This window comes from Homo sapiens, chromosome 2, assembly GCF_000001405.40.
Source record: "Homo sapiens chromosome 2, GRCh38.p14 Primary Assembly".
Classification (NCBI taxonomy): Eukaryota; Metazoa; Chordata; class Mammalia; order Primates; family Hominidae; genus Homo; species Homo sapiens.
Genome location: NC_000002.12, coordinates 115,388,935 through 115,414,424, shown reverse-complemented (window position 1 = coordinate 115,414,424; position 25,490 = coordinate 115,388,935). Strand labels below are relative to the sequence as shown.

General features: G+C 36.5%; 1 protein-coding gene across 24 annotated transcripts in view; it reads right to left on the bottom strand.

Moving 5' to 3' along the window:
* DPP10 (dipeptidyl peptidase like 10) overlaps positions 1-25,490 on the bottom strand; it is a 1,403,140-nt gene that overhangs the window by 431,356 nt on the left and 946,294 nt on the right. Inside the window, exon 4 of one of the 24 annotated variants that reach the window (NM_001399851.1) lies at positions 13,472-13,623. Within the exon in view, the coding sequence (NP_001386780.1) occupies positions 13,472-13,490 (19 nt within the window). The 5' untranslated portion in view covers positions 13,491-13,623. 24 annotated transcript variants of the gene reach the window in all.

Below are 25,490 nucleotides of genomic sequence, written 5' to 3'. Positions count from 1 at the left end.
AGTATTCAGTGTTGAGATAAAAGATGATGGAAAATGTGCCTCCCTCAGAGCATGGCGGAAACTAGCCATAAAACTAGTATCTGGCTGGAAACTAGAAGATAAACATCTAGACTCGGCTCTGTCGCAGACATTTTTTTGTAATCTTGGCAAGTCGCTCTACTTGCCTTGAAAGTACATTTATTCATCTCTATAATAATAGAGTGGGACAAAATTATTTCTAAAGCCTGTTTAAGTTTCAAATAAGATTCTGAAATCTAATCCTAAATAGGTACAATTTGGGGGATAGAAATTACATGTTTTTATTAACCATCCACGTAGCCCCTAGACAAACCTGGCATGAATCAGGTTTGTATTAAGAGACGGGAGAAGCTAAAGGCTCTTCCTCAGAATTAAAGGCTTATCTTTAAGGCCTTGAACCACTGAATCAGACACATACATGAAATTTCTTAGGCTCTAGTCAGAATGTCAATGATCTCAGTTATGTCAGAGAAAACCAAGTGGAAAAAAAAAATTATTGAGAGAAGGTGTAGAATTGCCTTCCTTAGATAAAGTCAAATGGTTACAAACACAGGCAGCTGAAATTAAACTTAACCACTAGTATCTCAAACTCTCCACCATCCATAACTGGCCCTGAGTTGAGACACAGGGTAGAAATTTATATCTGGCTTTGACTCGGAAACTAGGCTTTTAACAGTTGCCTAAATGTGAGGTCTGGAAAACTGTATTTTTGCTTGCCTAATCAGCACTTCATTCATAAAGCAGCAGATGCTGCAGCTTTTGCAGAGTCATGATGATAAACAAAGGAAAATCTAGTTAAATCAAGCTAGTGATTTTTTAAAATTTTAGGTACTTTTTAAAAATTTGAACATATTATCCTGATGACAAAAGTAACATTTTTTTAAATTGCAGAGCATTAAAAAGTAGAGAAAATATAAAGAAATCTAATTTACACAAACCTCACTACTTGAAGATAACCTACCCTCATGCTCCACTACTGTGGAGCGGCTGCCACTATTTTCCGACTTTGATTTTCACTTCCCTTAATTTCATGGATTTTACTGATTCATGGTCTCTGTTTGCTTCCATTTTGCTGTTTCTATTTGCATGTTTTCCACATGCTTTACGTTTCAACACCTTAGGAAAAAGTAACTGAACACCTGGCCTTCACCATTTGGTAGAGAAACCTGTGGGGCAGAGTTTTTGGGCCAGACTTCTTGCTAATCTCCTGGTCAGACTACAGAAGACAACTGCTTCCTCTTCCTCAGATGGACTTCTCCAGTCCGATTAGCTGTGTTCAGGATGGGAGGTCTCAGGGGCATGGTGCTGGGTGGTCCTTAGGTCAAGAATCCCAAATCCCACAGAAAATGGGGTTTGGCCATTATACTTAATGTTAGACAGCTCAGAACAGGGAAATCACATGTGGTAGAACACTTGATAATATTAGTATTTAAAGGGGAATTACAAATATATAAACACAAATAAACAAATCAATAATCAGGAATACTCAATTGTGCCCTGGTAGATGAGAGGCCCTCTACTGAATGCCCCTAATAATACAATGGAAGCACCCATCTATTATGTGTACACTCAGTGAGCAGCCAAATCCCAGGGTTAGAAAATTCATCTTCCCTCTCAGTAAGAGTTAAAGGTTTTGTTTCTCTCAAACGACATCTAAAAAACAATGTGTGAAGAAAACCACATTAAGTAAACAAGGATGAATAATCCTAAATACATACACTCCATTGAGTAGATCAGAAATAACTTAGTCCTGTGCCAAGGTGAATTCCTAACTGAGTCACTCATAGTTATTATAAAGGAAACAAAGATTATCATATGCAACTGTATTCCAATCCTGGAATAATAATGCTGCAAGAATTCTAATGAAAATGAAAAGTCTCATTGTGAAGAATTCACAACAAATTTAAATTTCGATGAACCTTCGAGTAGACACCTGTATTTACAGAGTGTTTCTTTTTGTTCTTCAATATCTGCTCTTCTTAGTAAAATTGCCTAAAATTGATGTATTCTCCATTAATCTAGAATTTATATCTTAAAACATGGGTGGTAAAAAGTTATATAAATATTATATCATGATCCAATTTAATTTTTTCCTGTGTAAGAGTAAAATATGTATAGGTAGTCATTTGATCAATGCTGGTAGCAGCCATCTATAGACAGTTAATTAAATGTGAACAGAGTTGCCACACAGGCGCTTCTCTATACTCTCCCTCATCAATCCCTCATCAACCTGTTTTAGGTGCAATTATGTGTGCTTAGCAATTAAATCTGGAAGTTAGAGTAAGTTTTTTTATTTTGGAGGAAAATCTCATTTCCCCTTAAATCATTTTAATCTTTAAAACCTAGCACCATGCATGGTTCACAGTAGTTGTTCCTGTAAATGTGTGGTAAGCATTAATAAATGTCTGAAAAGCAATGGCTATACCTGCAATTGCTTTCTTAAAAAGTAAACACCAGATGGAAAATGAATAAACTAGCAAAAATTACACTGTTAAGGAACAGAGAGAATCATGGTGGAACATGAGAACCAAAACCATCCACCCCCACACAGCATACTGTCCACATTTTCATGATTTAACCATTCCACTACATGTGTGTCAACATGACTTTATAATCGCAGGAAACTTGCCCAAGAAGATAATAGTTGCAAATAACTTTTCATTCCAGGAACTTTCTGAAAATCTTATTTCAATAAAGAGCAAATTGTTCAGCTCTTCAATAGAAGGCATAAAATGACAGCTTACTCCCCAAGTCTTTCTAAGGCTTCTCAAAATGTTCACCTTGCCACCTCAACCAAATGTAAATCATTAAAATCCTTGCTTCTCCGTAATGAAACTCTCTCATAAAAGAACTTCTTTAAATCATATTCCAAAGCTTCATAAATACCCCAATTTTCCCTCCCCCTTTCAATACTTTACTAAGACTTTATCAAGGTAATATAGTCCTTGACCAAGATGCAAATACAGACAATTTTTTTTCCCAATAAACCAGTTGTTCTACAATTTTGAGCAGCCATCATTCAACAATGGACAGAATTAAAGTGAGTGTTTTCTTTTTTTTCTCTCCTTTTTTTTTGAGACGGAGTCTCACTCTGTTGCCCAGACTGAAGTGCAGTGGAGCAATCTCGGCTCACTGCAACCTCCGCCTGCCCGGTTCAAGCAATTCTCCTGTCTCAGCCTCCCAAGTAGCTGAGACTACAGGCATGCGCCACCATGCCCGGCTAATGTTTTATATTTTTAGTAGAGACAGGGTTTCACCATGCTGGCCAGGCTGGTCTCGAACCCCTGATCTCATAATCCACCCACCACCTCGGCCTCCCAAAGTGCTGGGATTACAGGCATGAGCTACTGCGCCCAGCCCCTAAAGTAAGTCTTTTCTATGTATATTTATTTTTCATACTACGGCTCTTGATATTTTAACCACAGAAAAGTTTTACAAATTAAAAAATGTAACTAAAAAAGAAGTGAAAACATTAAAAAATGAAAGACAAATTAGTCTAATTTTATATCAAAATATCAATACAAGTGATATAGAACTATTAAAATGATGTTTAAATTACTATAAGAATTATGTGATTTTAATTATTATTATTTAAATAGATTTTAGGGAACAGGTGGTTTTGGTTACATGGATAAGTTGTTTAGTGGTGATTTAGGAGATTTTGGTGCACACATCACTTGAGCAGTGTAAACTGCACCCAATGTGTAGTCTTTTATCCCTCACCTTCCTCCCACACTTCTCCAGTCCTCAGTCCATTATATCATTCTTTTTGTCTTTTTCCTTCAGCTTTTAAGTGCCAGGTGCATGTGCAGGTTTGTTACACAGGTTAACGTGTGCCATGGTGGTTTGCTGCATAGATCAACTCATCATCTAGGTATTCAGCCCAACATCCATTAGGTGTTCTTCCTCATGCTCTCCCCTTCACACCTAAACAGGCCCCAGTGTGTGTTGTTCCCCTCCCTGTGTCCATGTGTTCTTATCGTTCAGCTCCCACTTATAACTGAGAACATGGGTGCTTGGTTTTTGTTCCTGCATTAGTCTGCTGAGAATAATGGCTTCCAGCTCCATCCGTGTCCCTGCAAAGGGCGCGATCTCATTCCTTTTTATGGGTGCATAGTATTCTATGATGTATATGTATTACGTTTTCTTAATCCAGTCTATCATTGATGGGCATTTGAGTTGATTTCATGTCTTTGCTATTGTGAGTAGTGCTGCAATGAACATATGCATGCACGTATCTTTATAACAGAATAATTTATATTCCTTTGGATATATACACAGATTCCCTATTTAATCAATGGGGCTGGGAGATCTGGCTAGCTATATGCAGAAAATTGAAACTGGATTCCTTCCTTACACCTTATACAAAAATTAACTCAAGATGAATTGAAGACTTAAATGTAAAACCCAAAACATTATATCGTTCTTATGCCTTTGTATCCTCATAGATTAGCTCCTGCTTATATGTGAGAACACACGATGTTGAGTTTTCCAATCCCGAGTTACTTCACTTAGAATAGTGGTCTTCATTTCCATCCAGGTTGCTGTGAATGTTATTATTTTGTTTCTTTTTATGGCTTAGTAGTATTCCATGGTATATACACATACCACATTTCTTTATCCACTTGTTGGTCGAAGGACATTTAGGGTGGTTCCACATTTTTGCAATTGCAAATTGTGCTGCTATAAACATGTGCATGCATGTGTGTTTTTCATTTAATGACGGTTTTTCCTCTTGATAGATATGCAATAGTGGGATTGCTGGATCAAATGGTAGATCTATTTTTAGTTCTTTAAAGAATCTCTATACTGTTTTCCGTAGTGGTTATAGTAGTTTACATTTCCACTAGCAGTGTAAAAGCGTTCCTGATTCACAAGATCTATGCCAATGTCTATTATTTTTTAATTTTTAAATTATGGTCATTCTTGCAGAAGTAAGTTGGTATCGCATGTGGTTTTGCTTTGCATTTCCCTAATCATTAGTGATGTTGGGCAATTTTCACTTTTGTTGGCCATTTGTATATGCTGTTCATATGTGATCTTTAGTAAAGTGACTTCAAAAATTTTGTCAGTTTTACACATTTGTCTCCTAATAATTCATTTTTTTGATATAGATCTCACTATTTTCTGTTTTTGTTGAGTTTGTTTTGGTAATTTGTGTCTTTCACAAATTTATCCATTTCACCTAGGTTTTTCACAGTTATTGGAATAAAGTAGTTCATAATGTTCCGTTTATAGTCCTACATTATAAATTTCTACAGTTTCTATAGTGAGAATCCTTTCACATTCCCAATTTGATAATTTGTTTCTTCTCTCATTATTTCTTGGTCAATCTAATTAAAAGTCTATCAGTATTTTTTTTTGTTTTCCTTCCTTTATCTTTAAAAATGGACAAATTTTAGTTACTGTTTTTCTCCTTTTCTACTTTCTTTTTCATTCTTTTCACTCAGAGATCTACTATTTATTTACTTCTAATTACTTTGGATTTGATCTGTGTGTCTTTAGTTTTTTGGAGAGAATCTTACATTCTTAACATTAAATTTTTTATGTTTTTTAAAATTAAGGCTAAAAGCTATAGTTCTCACTAAGCACTAGCTTACCCACATTCCATCAGCTTTTCAATTTTGTGTTTCCATCTTTATTCATATGATTTTTTTAATATCTCTCAAAAGGTTGTCTTAGACCAATGGGCTTATAACTTTATGATTAATTTTCAAATTTTGAAGATGTTCCAACTATTCATTTTGTTGTTGATTCCTAATAGAATTGTATTGGGATCAGAGAATATACTTTATATGATTTCAGTCCTTTCATGTATATTGAGACATTTGTTAATGCTTAGCATATGGTCCCTTTGAGAGTGTTACACGTATGCCTGAAAGTAATGTATATTTTACAGTTGTGTAAAATATTTTATAGATGTCAACTAGATCCAGTTGGTTGATAGTGACAGAGACAGGAGGCAGCCAAAGGTCCCCCAGCAAAAGCCCACCTTCAAGACTAAAACAGCCTGAAGGCTGAAAAACTGGGCTGCCCATCCCAGATGAAGCCTGCCCTTTTCCCAGCTGATTCTTTCTGAATAATGCCCGCCTGCGCACTGGGAGATTGGGGTGGAGCCTCAGGAAGTCTGTACCATTTGCAGGGCGGAGGAGCCTGGCCTCTCCTGTTCCTGGGAAAGTTCCTGTTCCTGTCAAAGTTTACTGACAGCAGGGGAGATGGGGCATATGTGGGTAAGAGCAGATACTCCTATCACCTAAGTCCCCTTGTGAACATGGTTGAAAGCCACTTTAACACCCATGGATGGCACCCTGTCGTGGTCACCGAGACTGGGAGATACAAGAATGGGGGAAAGAAAGAGGAATGCTTCATTTTCCCTCCCTCACGTACCGCATGTATTTGCTAGAAAGAGAAAGGAATCAGGGACGCTTGCTCTCCTCATTCTAGATGAGTAGCCATTCATCTTCAGTCTGTACCCCTTTTGAATGCATCCTAAATCCCTAGGAATCCTTTGAAAAAAAATGACTACTTTTTTTTTCCTTTTTCCTCCTCTGTCCTCTCTTCACTGATAGGTAATTGTGTGTCCATACTCTGGGACGCTCCCGTCATATGCATCCTCCAAACTGGGAAGAGTTAATTTCACAAACCTTAAACTGGTTGGCTTAGGACTGGGCTCAGGGGAAGGGGACCCAGAAGCCTAACACGCTGGCAAAAAGGTAAAAGTATTTTTTTTTTTCCAGTGGGCTTTCAGCCTCCCTCTCCATGTACACACCCGTAAAAGACCTCGGGTTTTTGAGCTGTCCTCACCCACCCCTTGTTTCATTTGGATACATGTTTTCTAATAACCTGGTTTGTCCCTTCTCTCCTTCAGGCCAGCAGACTCCAAATGGTCATGCAAACAGAGCCTTGGACAATGGCCCCTTTTGCCAGGAACGCTTAGATTGGCCTCTGAGGGAGATCTGACTGCCATTTCCCCAAAGCAGCCCCCTCTGTCTTCAGGAAGCAGTTAAGATTGGTCTTCGTGTTTATCCTTATCCTTATTCTAAGGGCAGTTAGATGTGCTCCTTTCGAGGGGGAATGATAGAGACAGGAGGCAGCCAAGGGTCCCCTGGCAAAACCCCGCCTGAGGCTGAAGGCTGAAACAGCCTGAAGGCTGAGAAACCAGGCTGCCTGTCCCAGATGAAGCCTTCCCTTTTCCTGACTGATTATTTCTGAATAATGCCCACCTGCGCACTGCAGAGACAGGGTAGAGGCTCAGGAAGTTCGCCCTGTTTCCAGGGCGAAGGAGCCTGGCCTCTTCTGTTCCTGGGTGGTGACCTGGGATTCGATCTGTGAGGTTGAGACCTGTTAACAGGAACCCCTCTCGCTTTGCTGACAGGGTTTTTTTTATTTTCATCCAATAAATTCCACTCCCCGTCACTCTTCAAAGTGTCTGCATGCCTAATATTTTCTGGTCGTGTGACAAGAACCCGGTTTTTTCTACAACAATAGTATTTTTCATGTTTGTTGTATCTTTACTTATTTAGTCTGTTCTTTCTCTATCAATTAAGAAAAGGGTGTTGAAATCACAATTATATTTGTTGAAATGTCCATTTCTGTTTTTTCAATTTTGTCAGATTTTACTTCATATATTGTAAAGCTCTAGTGTTAAGTACCTTTATAATTGTTATCTTTTCCTTCCGTGTTGACCTTTTTTTAATTAAAAGATCCCTCTTTATAACTAGTAATATACCTTAGTTTAAAATATGTTTTTGTCTGATTTTAATATAGCCTCTCTAACTCTCTTATGGTTATGTTTGTATGGTACAGATTTTTAAATCAAGTTACTTATAACCTATTTTTATATTTCAATCTAAAGTTAGTCTCATCTCTTATAGACAGCACATAGTCATATCTTTCTCTTTTAAACAAGTTAGTTACCATATCCATCACCTCCCTTACCTATCATTTAAGTAGAATAATATTCTATTATAAATAGTATTTCTGTATGTGGAGCATTAAGGATAATATAATGAGGGCTCAAAAGAAGACAAAAAAGACTAAAAAAATGTTTAAAACTTCTTAGAGATTGGTTCAGTTGTCATGACCAGAATGCTGACAGAAATATTAACAGTAAAAGCCATTCAGATGAGACCTCAGATGGAAATAGGACTATCTTACTGGGAACTGGTGTAAAGGCCATCTTTGTTAGACATTAGCAGAGAACTTGATCATATTGTGTCCCTGTCCTAGGGCTTTGTAGACATATCTAAGCAGCAAATGTTCAGGCTGCTGCCTGGTTACTTCTAACTGCTAGTGAACTGCTAGAAAGAAGGGAAGTAGAGTGAAAAGATTTGGTCAATTTATTGCTTGACCATGTGGTAGAGAATAAAACTGTTTTCAGAAGAAAAGCCAAGGGTGCGGTACAGCAACTCTTCACTAAATAGATTAGTGTGAAGAGAACAAAGCCAGAGGCCATTTATCAGGACAGTGGGAAAAAGACCCCAAAGGCATTTCAAAGATCTTCCAGGCTGTTTCTCCTATCTTAGGCCCAGAGGTCTCCAAGGGTGGAATGTTGTGGGGGATAGGCCTCAAGCACACTCCTCAGGATTCTCTGCTCCATGCATCCCAGCTGCTCTGGCTGTTCCAGCCATGGTTCAAGGGATCCCAGGTACAGCTCATGCCGCAGCTTCAAAAGGCAAAAGTCGTAAGCCTTGGCAATATCCACATCCATATGGTGCTAATTCCGCATGCAGGCAGAATGCAAGAGTGGAGGAGGTGCAGCAGCCTCCAACTAGATTTCAAAGTTTTTGTCAAACTGCCTAGGAGCTCAGGCAGAAATCTGTCACAGTGGCAGAGTCAGCACAGAGAGTCTTCTCTAGAATGCCCAGTGGAACCATGGGAGCAGGGCCACTTCCCTCTGGACTCCAGACCCACAGAAGTCATCAGCAACATGCGACACCAGCCTAGGAAATCTGCAGGCACCAGCATGCAACCCCAATCCATGACAGTAGCCACACGGGCTACACCCAGCAAAGTCTTGGAGGTGGGCCTGTCCGAGGTCTTGAAGCCCCTCCTCTACCCCAGTGTGCCCAGGAAAAGGTACATGAAGTACAAGAATATTCTGAGCTTTAAGATTTAATGTCTACCCTGCTGGGCTTCAGGCTTACTTTGGGCTGATTTTTCTTTTTGCCTCTCTCTCCCTTTTGGAAGGAGAATACTCATCTTATGCCTGTTCCACCATTGTATTTAGAAAATACATTTATTTTTTATTTTACAGGCTTATAGCTGGAAGGACTTTGCCTTGAGTCCCAGATGAAGCTTTGGACTTTAGACTTTTGCCTTAGTGCTAGAATAAGTTAAGATTTGGGTACTATTGAAATGGGTTGAAAACATTTTTCATTGTGAGTACATGAGTTATAGGGGGAGCCAGGGATAGAATGCTGTGATTTGAATGTGGTTTATTTCTACCAAAACTCATGTTGAACCATGTTCCCCAATGTGGCACTGTTGGGAGGTACTGCCTTTAAAAGGAAAATAGGTCATTAAGATGGATTCATGTCTTTTGAGATTGGGTTGATTATTTTAGGAATGGAATAATTCTTGAAAGAATGGATTGTTATAAAGTGAAGTTGCCTCTCCAATTTGGCCTTTCTTTTGTGTGCCTCCTTCCCCTTCCATTTCTCTTCCATGTCATGATGAAGTAAAAGGCCCTCATCAGATGCTGATCAAATGTGGCTTCCCAATGTTGCACTTTCCAGCCTCCACAATGCTGAGCCAAAATAAACGTCTTTTTTTTTAAAATAGATTACCCAGTCTCAGGTATCCTATAATAGCAACACAGAACAGATGAAGACAGGTAGCATAAACATTTTCACAATATCAATTTTTCTAATCCATGAACATGGCATATCTTTCCATTGATTTGTATTACCCTGAATTTCTTTCCTCAATGTTTATAGTTTTCAGTATATAAGTTGATATAGTTTGGATGTTGTCCCCACCTAAATCTCCTGTTGAACTGTAGTCCCCAGTGTTGGAGATGGGGCCTGGTTAGAGGTGATTGAATTATGGGAACAGATTTCTCATGAGTAGGACCATCCTGTTTATACTGTCCTTGCAATAGTGAGTGTTTTTATGAGATGTGGTCATTTAAAAGTATGTGGTACCTCCCACTTCTGCTGCTTTGATCATGTGACATTCTTGCTCCCCCTTTGCCTTCCACCATGATTGTAAGTTTTCTGAGGCCTCCCCAAAAGCAAGCAGATGCCAGCATCATGCTTTACGTACAGCCTGTAGAAGCGTGAACCCATTAAACCTCTTTTCTTTATAAATTACCTAGTCTAATATATTTTTATAGCAATGTGGGAATGGTCTAATACTCAGGTATTTTACAGTTAAATTTACACCTATATATTTAACTTTTTTATTGCTATTGTAAATGAGATTTTTTAAAAAATTTCCTTTTAAGATAGACCATTATTGCAATATAGAAAAGCTACTGATTTTTGCACATTAATTTTGAATGTTGCAACTCTAGTGCATTCATTGATCAGTTCTAATAGTTTTTTTATGATGTCTTTAAGGTGTTTTACACATAAGATCATCTTATCAACAAAGAGAAACAATTTCACTTTTTTCTCTCCTATTAGTATGCCTTTTATTTTGTTTTATTGCCTAACTGCTCTGGCTCTGATTTCTAGTACTTTATCAAAGAGAAGTGGTGTGGCCAGGCACGGTGGCTCATGCCTATAATCTCAGCACTTTGGGAGGCTGAAGCAGGTGGATGGATCACTTGAGGTTAGGAGTTAGAGGCCAGAATGGGCAACACAGTGAAACCCTATCTCTACTGAAAATACAAAAATTAGCTGGGTGTTATGGCAGGTGCCTGTAGTCCCAGCTACTCTGGAGGCTGAGGCAGGAGAATCGCTGGAACCTGGGAGGCGGAGGTTGCAGTAAGCTGAGATTATGCCACTGAATTCCAGCCTGGGCAACAGAGTGAGACTCTGTATCAAAAAAAAAAAAAAAAAAAAAAAAAAAAAAAAAAAAGAAGGAAAGAAAGAAAGAGAGAAGTAGTGACAGTGAGCATCGTTGTCTTGTCCCTGATCTTACAGGAAATGCTTTCAACTAGCCACTGTTAAGAATAATACTAGCTATGTGTTTGTCATATATTGTGCTGAAGTACATTTTTTCCGTATAGTTAATTGTTGAGAATTTTTATAAGAAAAGGGTGCTGAGTTTTCTTAAATGCTTTTTCTGCATCTTCTCATTTTTTTTCATTTTGTTAAAGTGGTGCATCACATTTATTGATCTGCATATTTTGAACCATCTTTGCATCCTAAGAATAACTCTCACTTGATTGTGAAAAATGATTCTTTTAATGTGTTCTTGAACTGGGTTTGCTAATAGTTTCGTTGAGGATTTAAAAAATGTATCTTTATCAATGATGTTGCCATATATATATACATATATATATATATACACACACACATATATATATACATATATATATACACACATATATATACATATATATATACACACACACACACACATATATATATATATATATATATTTTTTTTTTTTTCCTTGTAGTGTCCTTGTCTGCCTTTGGTGTTGTGGTAATGAGTTTGGGATATAAAATGAGTTTGGAAGCATTGTTTATACTTCAGTTTTTTTGAATGGTTTGAGAATTGGTATTATCTCTTCTTTAAATGTTTAGTAGAATGTAGCAGTGAAGCCGTCCAGTCCTGCGCTTTTCCTCAGTGGAAGACTTTTTTTTTTTTTTAAACTGATTCAGTCTCTGTGTTCATTATTGCTCTATTGAGTTTTCTATTTCTTTGTGTTTGTTTTCAAAGCTTTCATGTGTCTAGGAATTTATCCATTTCTTCTAAGTTATCCAATGTACTGGTGTGTAATTGTTAATAATAGTTTCTTATGATTCTTCGTATTTTAGTGGTGTAAATTGTGATGCCTCGCCTTGCATTTCTGATTTGTTTACTGAATAACCTCTCTTTTGTAATTAGTAAGTCTAGTTAAAGGTTTGTCTATTCTTTTTTAAAGCTGCTCCTAAATGCTCTTTTTTGCCAACTGACCCCAGGTGGTCCACCCCTGCTTGTAATCCCAATGTTTCCTGTGGGACAAAATAGGAATGAGCCTTCTGTAAAGAGTGCCTGAATGGTGGGAAAACTGAAGATTTGCTTCCAACTAACTTTCCCAACTGTAGAAACTGTGGGTCCAGGAGAATTCTCTGTGTATGGTACTGTGTTGGCCTAGAGAAAGGGCAACGAGGTGAAACATCTGAAGTCTTAATATTTGATTTCCATTTTTCTTTGTCCTGAAGTCCAAGGGTCCAAGGGAAGTCTTAGCCTCACTCCTGAGTTCTGGGACATTTAGGATGGTATACTTCCTGTGTTGCTATTGGATTTCTATAGGGAGAGTGAAGCCCAAGAATCCTACTCCGCCATTTTGCTGATGTCACTCCTTCAATATTTTGAAAATATTTATAGTAGATGTTTTGAATTTTTTTTTTTCTGCTAAATCCAATATCTGGTCCCATGTAGTGTCAATATCTATTGACTCAATACTCTTTTGAGTATTGGTCACACTTTCATGTTTCTTCGGATATCACATAATTTGTGGTTGAAAATTTAATATATTAGAAAATGCATCATACCAACTCTGGAATGCAGTTTATATTTCTGTGTATGTGTGTTAAAATTAGCTTTGATGTGTAGCCCAGCCACTGATACTCTACTTAATTGTATTTTACCATTACTATTGTATTTTTATGCCTTGTTTTCTAGGAATACTGCCCTGCGTCTATTTATCTATTCATTTATTTTTACAGGCAGGGTGTCACAATGTCGCCCGGACTGGAGTGTGATAGCTTGATCACAGCTCACCGTAATCTCAAATTCCTGAGCTCAAGTGACCTTCCCACTTCAACCTCCCAAGTAATTAGGACTACAGGCACACACCACTAGCCCAGATACATTTTAAAAAAATGTTTTTGCAGGGAAAGACTTCTCTATGTTACCCAGGCTGGTCTCAAACTCCTGGCCTCAAATGATCCTCCCAGTTTGGCCTCCCAAAGCTCAGGGATTATAGGAATGAGCCTGGCCCTCCAGCATGTCTTCATAGTTTAGTGATCACCCAGTTATTTGGATAGAGGATGTACTCAAAGGCTTTGTTTCCATAAGGTGTCTACCCACTTCACATTTATTAGTGAGTGGTTTGGAAAACACACTTAAAGTTGAAGTGAGTCCTCAAGTCTTCCTCAGCTTCTGTTTCTCAAATCCCTCTCAGGCCTCCCTAATAGCCAGTGATATGCGAGACCTTATCTCAGACCTTCTATGGCTCGCTCATTTTCAGAATCTCTTGGCTAACTTTCTTGCTGGTCCATTGCTCCCCCAACCAGGACCTCTGTGTGCTAACACAAATGTTTTGCTCAGTTGTTCCCACCTAAGTACTCACTTTTAGCTGGCAAAGCCATAGGTTTTCACTTGCTACTCCAAACTGAGGAAGTTCCCCATGCATAGCCTCGAAACTGTTGGTTTTCAATGCCCGCTGTTACAAATACTATTCTTGCTGACTCTATTGACGTGGGGAGTGAAGATGGCAGCGACCTGGAAAGAAGGCCACAGATACTCCTCTAACTTGCAACTCTTGCATTTATTTCAAAAGTAAATTTTATTAACTCGTTTTCTGCTTTTTGTTGACATATGTGCCTTGAAATGTTGTTTCTATTTTTTTCCAATATCACACAGATGGTCCCTGAGTTACTAGGGTTCAACATACACATTTTCACTCTACAGTGGGTTTATCTGAATGTAATCCTATCGTAAGTCAGGAAGCATCTGGACTTACAGTCTCTCAACCTACAACTTTTGATATTATGGTGGGTATAAGGGTATTAAACATATTTGAACTGAAGATTTTTTTTTTTTTTACTTATGGGTAGATATCATGATTGTAAGTCTAGAAGCATCTGTACTTGCTTTTTGGAGAGAATGTGACAACATCTTCATGCTGCCAAAGCTAGAAGTCCATTATAAATTCATTTTTTAAACAGGGCAATTTACTTCTAGTTCCCTAAAAAAATTTAATCTGAAATACATTTACTTGCTAGCATTCATTCACTTCTTTCCATTCACAGTTGATTTGGTAAATTCAGCCATGACATGGTTTGGATCTGTGTTCCTGCCCAAATCTCATGTCAAATTGTAATCCCAGTGCTGGAGGCGGCGTGTGGTGGGAAGTGATTGGATCATGGGGGTGGTGCTTCATGAATGACTTAGCACCATCTTCTTGGTGCTGTTCTCATGATAGTGAATGAGTGATTTACCATGAGATATCATTTAAAAGTGTGTAGCACCCCTCCCCGTCTCTTGCTCCTGCTCCAGCCATATGAGACGTCCTGCTCTGTTTTTACCTTCCATCATGATTGGAGGCTTCATGAGACCTCCCCAGAAGCAGAAGCTGCTATGCTTCCTGTACAGCCTGCAGAACCATGAGCCAATTAAACCTTTTTTTCTTTATAAATGACCCCATCTCATATATTTCCTTACAGCAAAGAAAGTACAAGCTAATACAAGCCAGTAAAGAGAACCATTAGAATTTTTATGAAACACTTAGAAGAAGTTCAGTAAAGAGAACCATCAGAATTTTTATAAAATACTTGGAAGAAGTTGTGATGAAATAAAAATTTTCCTTCCTCTCTTTAAGTTACATTTAAATCAAAAGGAAAACTATAGCTAAATGGGACTTTAAGCATATAAATTAATATATTACAAAGTCCATCAATAGAAGATAAAGAAACGCATAAAACTAAAATGCAATGGGTAGTGAGGAGTTGATTCTAAAGCAAAATTAAAGCAATTTTTTAATAATTCGGGCTAAAAATGTTCCTTGACTTATTACAATTTTGAGATTATTTGGGCTGCAAATCAAGTAGCCTGAAAAGCAGAGAATATTTTGAAATTATTCAAATAGTTTAGATAAATAATAAATGAGAAAGTTAAATAGTGTTGTCCGATCGCATTATAAAAAGCCTATCAAGAGTTTTGATCATAGTTTATACTATTATTATTGTGTGTTGTTGAATTGCATACATGGATTACAAAAAGAAACAGAAATAATTATCCACCCAATACTTCTCTTTTGTGTGTGTTATTTAAAATCACTAGATCTCAGTTTCTTATCTGCAACATAGTTAAAATAAAGCCCTTTTCTTCATGTTAGAAACAATGCGAGCACTCAGTAAATTGTAGTAATTATCAAAGATGATGGTACTAATAGTAGTAGCAATGAAACAAGAGGTGGTACCAACAGCAACAAAATGTCACCGACACTGCCTCAGAGTATTTAGTCAAATTATTTTATGCATAATCAACGATACAAATCTCTACATGATTAAGTGCTAAAGGGATGGAAAGCTGTAACTTAAAAAAAAGTGTGCTCTCTATGTGACAGCAGCCATAGGAAAATTATACTGGGTTATTGAGGCAGGCTTGTTCCTTTGATTTGGTGTATCTCAAACTATAACATAAATTAAAACATCCCTATTTCAGATGACATGGAAACAGACCTCTTTTTAAATAGCACTTTTATTTTGAACATGTCTGGCTAAAAACAGAAAAGTCAAAATTTAAGATCTTCATTCTTCAACTAAATGCTTGAGGCTGAAGTCTGATATGAAAAATCAAATCTCATATAAAGTTGCTATTGCATATGTTCCTTTAAATCTCAAAACAGAAACATAGTTATATACAATGTAGATAATATGTTCTAGGACACCATAGACTATTGAGAACTTTTAATGATGCAAAAAAAGCATTTTATTATATACCCACCAAGAAAAGACTGACTATTTGCATTCAAAAACAAACCACAACCCTATGTGAAAAACACATTCTGTTATTTATGCTATATATATCTAAGTCTTAAATAAGAACAATAATTACCAAAACTCATAAAAGAGATTCATTTCAAGCAATTTTCTTAAACACATATTTATCAGATGAATGAACTCCTCTAAGGCACTCTCAGTGTGTTAAGGACATGTCATGAATTTTTTAACTACTTAATAATGCATTTGCTTCAGGCGTGACTCAATTTAATAAATCATATAAGTTACAATACATTTTATCACATATTTATGGAAAGAGATATTCCAATTTCTTAAGCACTGCTTTTCTAAGTATTAAGAGGCAGCTTAATATAACCAAGGGACAAAAGAAGGAAAAAAAAAAAAGTCATATACAATGAAAAACTCCAGGGAAATGCATTAAAAACACCTCTAAACCATGAGTTTTTAAGTTCATATGCATGAATATGTCTTTAAATTATATGCAGCTGTTTGTGTGATGAACATCTTAATGAGGAAAGCATCCATAAATTTCATCACATTATCAAATTAGAAATTGGCCGTGAACATTTTTTCTATGTGATGTTGCCGTATCGACTCTCACACTAAACCCAGCAACTTGCCAAGGGTACACATTTGGGATTCAACAGAGGTTATGTGGACAGAGACAAGGAGCATTGGTCAAGAATATAATTACATACACCGGGACATACTTGTGGCAGCAGTCTTCCCAAACACAAAGTCAGAACAATACAAACACTAAACCTGAAAATTCTAGCTCAAAGAAGGCAGACAAGAAATTCAAGTAACCGGAAAATCACAGCCAAAAGCACAGGAAGAAAATGCTAGGGCAGAATTAGTCAGAAACTAAAGTGGAAGCTGAAGATGAGCAGCAGTGACAACATCATGCCTCTTTCTGAGGGATGAAGCAAGGAGTGGTACAACTTGTATTTAGTAAGACTACTTGTATGCAGTTTTCCTAATCATGCTTGGGTGACCACTTTCAAACCCATGTTTTGTAATTCATATATGTCTAACCCAATTATAACAATTTTATTGAATGTCAGAAGACTTAGAATATAACTCTAGTCCCTTATAATAATATGACTATGGCACACTATCTTTTTTTGAAATTATCTAAGAAATGCAAAATATATTATCAATGAGTGCTTGAATTAAAATGAAATGAAGTGTGGTTCAACTAAAGTCTAGTTAGACAGTAAGATGCAAATAAATATAACAATGCCTAGGTTTTTAATTGATTTGTTCACAGTGAGTTTATTAACTTGTTATTATTAGTCCAGTCAGATTTGTTTCCAGGTTACATCACCCAACTCAAACATGACTAACTTATATTTTTCTTTTACTTCTTGACTTTATACATGAATCTGGCAACACTCTGCTGAAATAATCCTATTAGATTCTTAACTATGGCCTAAGTATAAGTGATCAAGTCACTAAGACAAAAGTGACTTCATCTTAAACTATCTAAGGATTTCTGTCAATGTTCACATCATGTTTTGCAAATAAGAACACTTGAAAATTAATTAACCCATTATAAATCAATAGATGGGATAATACTTCCATTTACAGTGTTGGCCTTATAATTTTATTGTTTACTCAGCGTGACAGGAGCATCTTTCCTCAAATAAGGAGATAGGAGATTTTTCACATTGCAAGTTCATTTTTGAGTCTCGGTAGTTTCCTTGGTTCGTTTTTCCTTTAATGATATATGAGTGCAATGGCTAGAGTGGATTGTGCAATGAGGATGGGAAAAACTGATACGGCTCTGACCTCTGTGGATGATTGACTGCAGCAACGAAAGCTAATGACTGTGGAAGCAGCAACCTTTTATTGCTTTTTAAACTTTAGGACATATGTCAGGACAGTAAAAAGCTAACACAATGGGAGCTACAAACATTGCATGCTGTTTTTCTTTCTTTGAGTATTTAACAAGAAAGAATAAACAAGAAAGACACAACAACTACCAAGGTCCCTTTTCTCATTTTGACATTTTGTATATTACTCCAAGGTGAGGAAGCCAGATTACAGAATTTCCATTTTTAAAACAGACCACATGGGAGAAATGGCTTGAGTTACTGGTTACTTACTTCACGTAGCAAGTCATTTCCAAACATTATTTTTCACAAATGTTCTGTAAACAAACATTGATAATTTGTGGAGAGCAACACAAATCTTTCACCTAACATAGTAATATACTCGGACAGTATTTACGGATTTCAAGATGATCACAAATGAGCACAGTTGCTTGTATAACCTTGATTTCTAAAAAAGTTCTGTACTGGGTAAAATACTCTTCTTGAAAAGGCACAGGGGGAACACTGAGGTATAAGGACACCTAGATAATCATCCACATCAGTAATAATCAAGCTTGACAATCTGTGAGGTAATAGATGTGCAGCCATCCTCATGCCTGGAATGTGATCTTAAACATCCAATGGTCTGGGTCAGGAAGACCAGGCCCAGCCAACTTGAGCAGTCTAGAGGGTTATAAAGTATGTATGGTGAAGGAAAGCTAATTGCTGGAAATTCACGCCAATTAAAGTAACATTGAAAACCAGCAGAATCAGGTAGCTGGGTATTTCACTATCAGAAATTGAATCAAATTGAATCATTTGAGAATATAATATATACACAGCACTCTATCATTGTATATAGTATGTACAGCAACACATATGAAGATACAAAATAAATATAATGTGTCATTCCCATTCTCATCAACTGCAAACTAGATGGGGAGACAATCGAGCTGTATGGATCAATTAGAATCCAATGTAAAATAATGCAAATTTAAGTGGAAAATGGTGTATTGACTTGCTATGAGTTTCATCTATTGAAAACATTTTACTGATAAAGTAACTTGGGAATATTGTGAGCTGAGTTGTAAACCAGTGCAAAGTAGGAGTTAGAGAAGAAGGTGGGAAAACAGTAGGTCTTCACTGGAGAAAGAAACTGAGCTTCAAAGAGCAGCATACATTAATCAGTCAAGTAAAACAAACAGGGAAGGCCTGGGAAGAAAGCGATGTTTTTGAGTTGGTAATAAGCTCATGGAGGCTGTTTAGCATTGACGTCTTTGGAGGTTATTATGGGATGAACTGTGTCCTTCTGAAACCCACATGTCAAAGCTCTAAACCTACTGCCTCAAAATGTAACTGTGTTTGGAGACAGAATCTTTAAAGAGAAATTAAGTTAAAATTAGGTCATTAGGGTGGAAATTAATCCAGTCTGACTGGCATCCTTATAAGAAGAGGAAATTTATACACGTAAAAAGAGATACTGGGGTGCACATGCACGGAGGCAGGACCATGGGGAGAGGCAGAAGAGTGGGGGTCTGCAAGCCAAGAAGACAGGCTCAGAGGGCACCAGTGCTGCCAGCACCCTGATCATAAACTTCCGGGACCCAGACCATGAGAAAATACATTTCATTCATTTAAGCCACCCAGTCTCTGGAATTTTCTTACAGCAGCTCTAGCAAACAAATCACATAGAGGTGAAGAGTGTAGTACGTGAAAACAGCTTTGAGAACATAAACTTTTGTCTACAATGATAGGAGGTATGCATTAGGAGAACTCACTTATTTTTCCATCATCAAATTATCATCTTATTCTTGAACTCTCTTATGCCACCCTCAACTCCTGATAGCGTTGATTATCGAGAATTATTCTTAGTGAGGAATTCTAACACAGTAACTATGTATGGATTTCCCATATTCAAGAAAGATAAATGTACTATTAAAAAAAACCCACCTCACTATAAACAGAGAAATACGTGGCCCTCTGACCTGTAGAGTAATAAAATCTGTGCCACCATCAGCAAATGACAGACACTTTTAAAAGTCCCTTTGGTTAGACTCCTATCCTTTAATAGTCTTGTTATTCAGGGTAAAGATTGCATCTGATATGGGCTATTTTGATAGTTGCTTTAATTCTATACCTCGCTCTCATAATAGAAAATTGTATTATGCTGGGATAAATACTTTTAAAAAATGTTATCCATCAGTTTCACTAATGTTTGGGACAGGTAGCATTCAGTAATGCTTTCCCTTTCTTTTTTTTTCTTTTTTTTTTTTTTGGTGAGGTTGATTACATGTAGCAGCCTATAATAGAATGTGATTTTCTAATTAAAAAAAAGAATTTTAACATCTCTCACATTCTCAAAAGAATACCTCCAAGAACAGAAACCTGGGCTTTATCAATCTTTTTACTGACATTTTTAGGAGGAATGTGATGTAAGTCATTTCAATTCTTTGGGGATCTGCATTCTTATTTAAAATGTCTGTGAATAAACTGTTGTCCTTCATTGTTAAGAGGATCTAAGACACTAAGGCTCTACTAGTTTCAAATCCAAGTTTAAAAAAATGAAAATCTGATTACATCAGTCTCACTTAAAACACTTTGTTGTATCCTCCTAGTTTTTAGAATCGATTCCAAATTTCTTTATATATTTGATGAACGGCATAATTCAATCTCTGCATAATTTTCCAATCTCTGATGAAACTGCATAATTCAATCTCTGCATAATTTTTATCTCACTTCATGGCACCAATCTTCATCTCCCCTATATAATGACCTCAATGTATACATTCAACTAACTACAAAGTTCTTTCAGGTCCTAGATTACACTTCATTGTTTCATCTATGGACCTCCATATGTGCTATTTCATCTGTCCAAGTACCCTAATGTATCACCATCCCTTACTTGGCCTAGCCAACTCCAATTCATGCTTGGTATACCAGCTTATAATTTGCCACTCCTAGAAACCACCCTAGACAGATCAAGTCTGAAAATTTGATCTACCTCTTTAATGAGTTCTGTAGTTATGCAAAAACAAATAAATTTCTGCCTTCTATGAGCTGTGTAGTAGAGAAAGTAACAAGTTCCAATGCTCTCTCTCTTCTTCTCTGAGAATACACAATGGTTCCCAGAGCCAGAAAACTGTATTGGCCCTTAATGAATTTAATACAATCCTTTCTCCTCATACCTCAATTTATCCTGATATGGAACTTCTAAGAGCAACTGGAATTCAAAGGCTAAAAGACCATGGGTTCTATCCCAGTTTGTCATGGTTCTGCAGAAGTGGAAGGTGGCTTCAGTTTCTAGTCTACCACTAAAACATTCGATGGTCATTCAGACTTTGATAAGCTGTTCAATTTTTACCAGTTTCATTTATTAGCATTAGATATATTTTATTTAATCTTATCTATTCACATATAGATTTTTTTTTTTTTTTGAGACAGTCTTCCTCTGTCACCCAGGCTTGAGTGCAGTGGCACAATCTCCGCTAATTGCAACCTCCACCTCTTGGGTTCAAGCGATTCTCATGCCTCAGCCTCCCGAGCAGCTGGGATCACAAGCACGCACTACCATGTCCAGCTAATTTTTGTAATCTTAGTAGAGATGCAGTTTCACCATGTTGGCCAGGCTGGTCTCAAACTCCTGGCCTCAAGCGAACTGCCCACCTCAGCCTCCCAATGTGCTGGGATTAGAGGTATGAGCCACCGCACCCAGCCTATTCACATATACTTTTTAAATAAATAGAAATAATATAAATGACAAAGGAAAATTCAATATAAATATGCAAATCATAACAATAACTTTAGTTTCTTATACTGGCAAAGAAAAAATAATATGACTATTTTGAAGGTAATGGATTCTTTCAAATAAAACTGAAGGAAATCTTTACACAAAGATCTTCATAGAAAGAAAAAATAATGTTTTCACCATACTGAAAAACTCATTTAATGATGACTATGAATATAAAGAATTAATCTGTCTAAAACAATGCATTTATATGCAATTTTAAAAAATTCATTGTAATTTAAATCACAGACACTGAAATTAAAATACAAACTATATTAAATACAGTCCGATCTATAAACTATAATATCTTGCTCATCTAATCATCTGTCCTGAATCCAATATTATTGTGAAGATAATATCCTATATAAATTATATTCACTTGGTTTTGCATGTTTTCCACTTATGCTCTTAAAAATATTAGTTATATATATGTGATATTAAGAGGATGAGTGTAATTATGTATACACGTTTTAATGAAAGCATACATCTTTATTTGTGAAATATAAGAATTAAAAAATGAAAAAGTAAGAACTCTAAAATGCAGTTCAACAATTTATGTTAAGGCTGATATTTTAGAGAGTTTTCTATTAATATGATATCAAAGTGAACATATCTACTTAAAAGAAACTAGTTATAGACAATAAAACCCAGCACAGCTTATTAAAACTAAAGGTCACCAACGACTAGAGCCTCAGTAGGTTTTACTAATTCCACAGCTGTGCCAGTTAATTTCAGGCTTTGCGGGGGGAAGAAAACAAAATAATCAAAAAAAAAGCATAAAAATACGAGACTTTGAATTGATTTCCCATCGACAACAGAGAATAAGTAAATTGAAGATGACGTTATTATATCAGCAAATAGTTGTGCCTAAAAGGGACCTTAATGACCATAAGAACCAACTCTTTATTATACAGATGAGAAGATGAGAACTTATTTGTCCTGGAAAATACAAGTGGTTACTGAGAGAACACAGGCCCCAGTCTTCTAGGTCAATAGTATATCTCCTTAGAATGCTGAGGTTCTGGTAACAAACAAATCATCATATCAGCTGACTCTTTAATTCCCCAAGATCTACTTACACTGAGCAAGGCAAACAAAGAAGTGAACTGGAAATACCGTAAAGACATTGTCTTTTCCTCATCTATCCACCCCCACAACTCATCTTGTACTTTTCTCCCATTGATTTGGAGAAATGGGATAAATATTTTTAATATGTTATTTCTCTTCTCAGTTTAATGAAATGAATCTTGGACAAATTATTTATATATTTATAATTATAATAAATGCTTATTTATATGTGCTAAAATAACACTATTATAAACATCTTTTTTATTTTATATTTATGTTATGGATATTGGTACCTCAGATGTATAAATTTGGAAACTGTACTTTAAAGAACTTAGCTGATGACGATTATAGAGTTATTCAGATGAGGACCCAGGTCTCAAATCCAGATTCGTCTGACACCAACTCATGTGCTGTGAGCCATTTCACATACTACTTCAAAATCCTTTCCTTCTACATCTGGTATTTACTCAGTGTATTCTCATATATCCTTGAATGTGCACTGTTTTAGCTACCATAAGATAGAATGATCTCAGATTGTGATCACTCTCTATGGGTGCTATACTGCTTACACAATCAGTGTCCAGTAGTAAGGACTTCATATTTATTGGAGTCATAAGAAAGCACAGATATAAGTCCTGTTGTTAATCATCATTCTACCAGTGTATATCCAAGCCTTGGAAGACTTTGGATTAGTTAAATATGTTCAAGTAGTGCATACTATCCAAAAATGATTATGTTGATAAGTCATGCATTTGATTTCCACTGTGTTCCAAAAGTAGTACCTTCATGTGGTTCTTAAAACCTATATGCATTAGCCTTCTTGACAGCTCTGCATTTTTCCATATTCCTTCTCCTGCTTTTAATGCCAAGATTTTTATCTAATAGTCTCCATACACCAATACTAGGATCTCTGTCAGTCATAATGAAAAAGTGCAATATTCTTATGTGTAGGTTACCAGTTAGGGAAAAGTTAACTAGTACAAGATGACGGTGAGGATGGAGTCCATAATGCTGAGACTTCACCCTGGATGTCAGAGAGAGTGATGTGATCTCTCTTAATTCAAACTTCTTCACTAAAATGAGGCACATAGATCCCAATTTTTAGTGAGGTCTAGATAGTTTTGGCATTCAGTTTAATGTGTTTCTATAAACTTTCTACATGGTGTGAAACTTTAGCATATGAGTAATGGTATTTAGCCTTTAAACAAATTATCTCATTAACTAAATGTAAACAGAGGCTTTGAGGGGGGCAAAATTCATTTCTCTCTCAACGTTAAACTTGAGTATTGAAGGGAAAATTGGTATGCTGAGAAAAATAGTAGAAAAATAAAAATCATTTAAGAAATGGCCAGTATCCCTGTTTACATCAAGTGGAGCAAAAAGGGCAATAAAAAAAAGAGCAAGATGGTCTGATTGTTAATTCCTATTGCAGAGAGACTTAGAGAAAGCCTGTTGACTCATGAAGATACAGCTGTAGAAAGAACACATGCAACGTGTCATCAACAGAAATGCCATCTCTCGTTTGGCAGAAAATACCAGTTGGTTAACATATAATTATTATTGACTAAAAATATCCCAGTGGTAATTATCTCAGCTTAGCTTTATTTCGTTGGATGATTATATTTCAGCATGGTGTTTGTGTGTAGTCAACAAGCATTTCTGGGCACATAAACACAAACTGTGAAGAGTTGCCTTTTTCCTATTTCCAACTCAAGTGCTGTTTCTTCATTCAAGTTACAACAAATAATACTTGAGTATCTCTCTACAAGGGGATAGTCACTGTAATAAGAGCTGACGAGGCAAAAATCATACAATGTAATGTAGGGCTGGGTCCAGCAAATAACCTTGTTGTATATAGAACTACTTTGTCCATCTCTAACAAAGAAATACCCAAGTTCTTCCTAATGCCCTCACGATCCTGCCTATGAGGAATAAAATATCAATGAGCCTTAACGTAATAACTCAGTTTCAGGGAAGAGTAGAGAGTATTTTACAACAAATGGGAATGCTAAATAATGAATTAATAATTATAGAGAAGCCAGGTTGAATAATTCTATAAATTGATATATTTACCAAATAAGTAATCACAAAGAGGCTCTAAGATAAATAATCATAAACTGAATACTACTCTTTTGTGAGTATGTTCTCAAGAGTTTCCCAAATGCCTCACGCATTAGGTTGAGCCACTCTAGAATGCACGTGTTGTTTTGCTGCTAGTGGGTGTTATAATTCATGGGCATTACTCTAACGGGACTCTTCTCACCATCCAGCCACTTAAAATTCTTTGGGTGACAAACACACTTGACTTCATAACATTAGGTTCAACAAGGTTATTATTTAGTTCATTACATCGGTTACTTATTCATTAAAAAATGGAAATCCAAGTATCAGGCTCATGTGAGAGGTAGCAGAAAATCTAACAAAATAGCAATGATTCCTTCTCAGAGTGTTTAGGGGCAAACAAAATTAAACAAATTAATATACAAGTAATAATTAACTTTTATAAAAGCCAACAAGTTATGTTGCTTGCCATTAACTGAGACGTAGTAAGCCACATGTAGTTCAAATTGAAATGAAGTAGAATGAGTATGAGTGTGTGTGTGTGTGTGTGTGTTTGTGTGTGTGTGTGTTTAGTAAAAGCATAAAAGCACCTAACTGCAGGCAGAGGGAATGTTGCAGCTGTGTGCACTTTGTTTGTTCTGTCAACATTTTAAAAGCTGATGTCATTAAGCTTATAGGAGTCAAGGAATCATAGAATACATTCTTTACCAAGATAATGGGAGTGGTTTTGATTGCAAAAGCAGCAAAGGAGAAAAGAATAGTTCAATATCAGTCATATGATTTGGTAAAGGAAAGTTGGAGAAGTTATATGTATTTTCCCTTAAAGAGGCTAAAAACTTGTGTGTTTTATTACTTTTGCTGTGATTCCAGGCAGCTCTTGAACCAAGCTTAACCTTC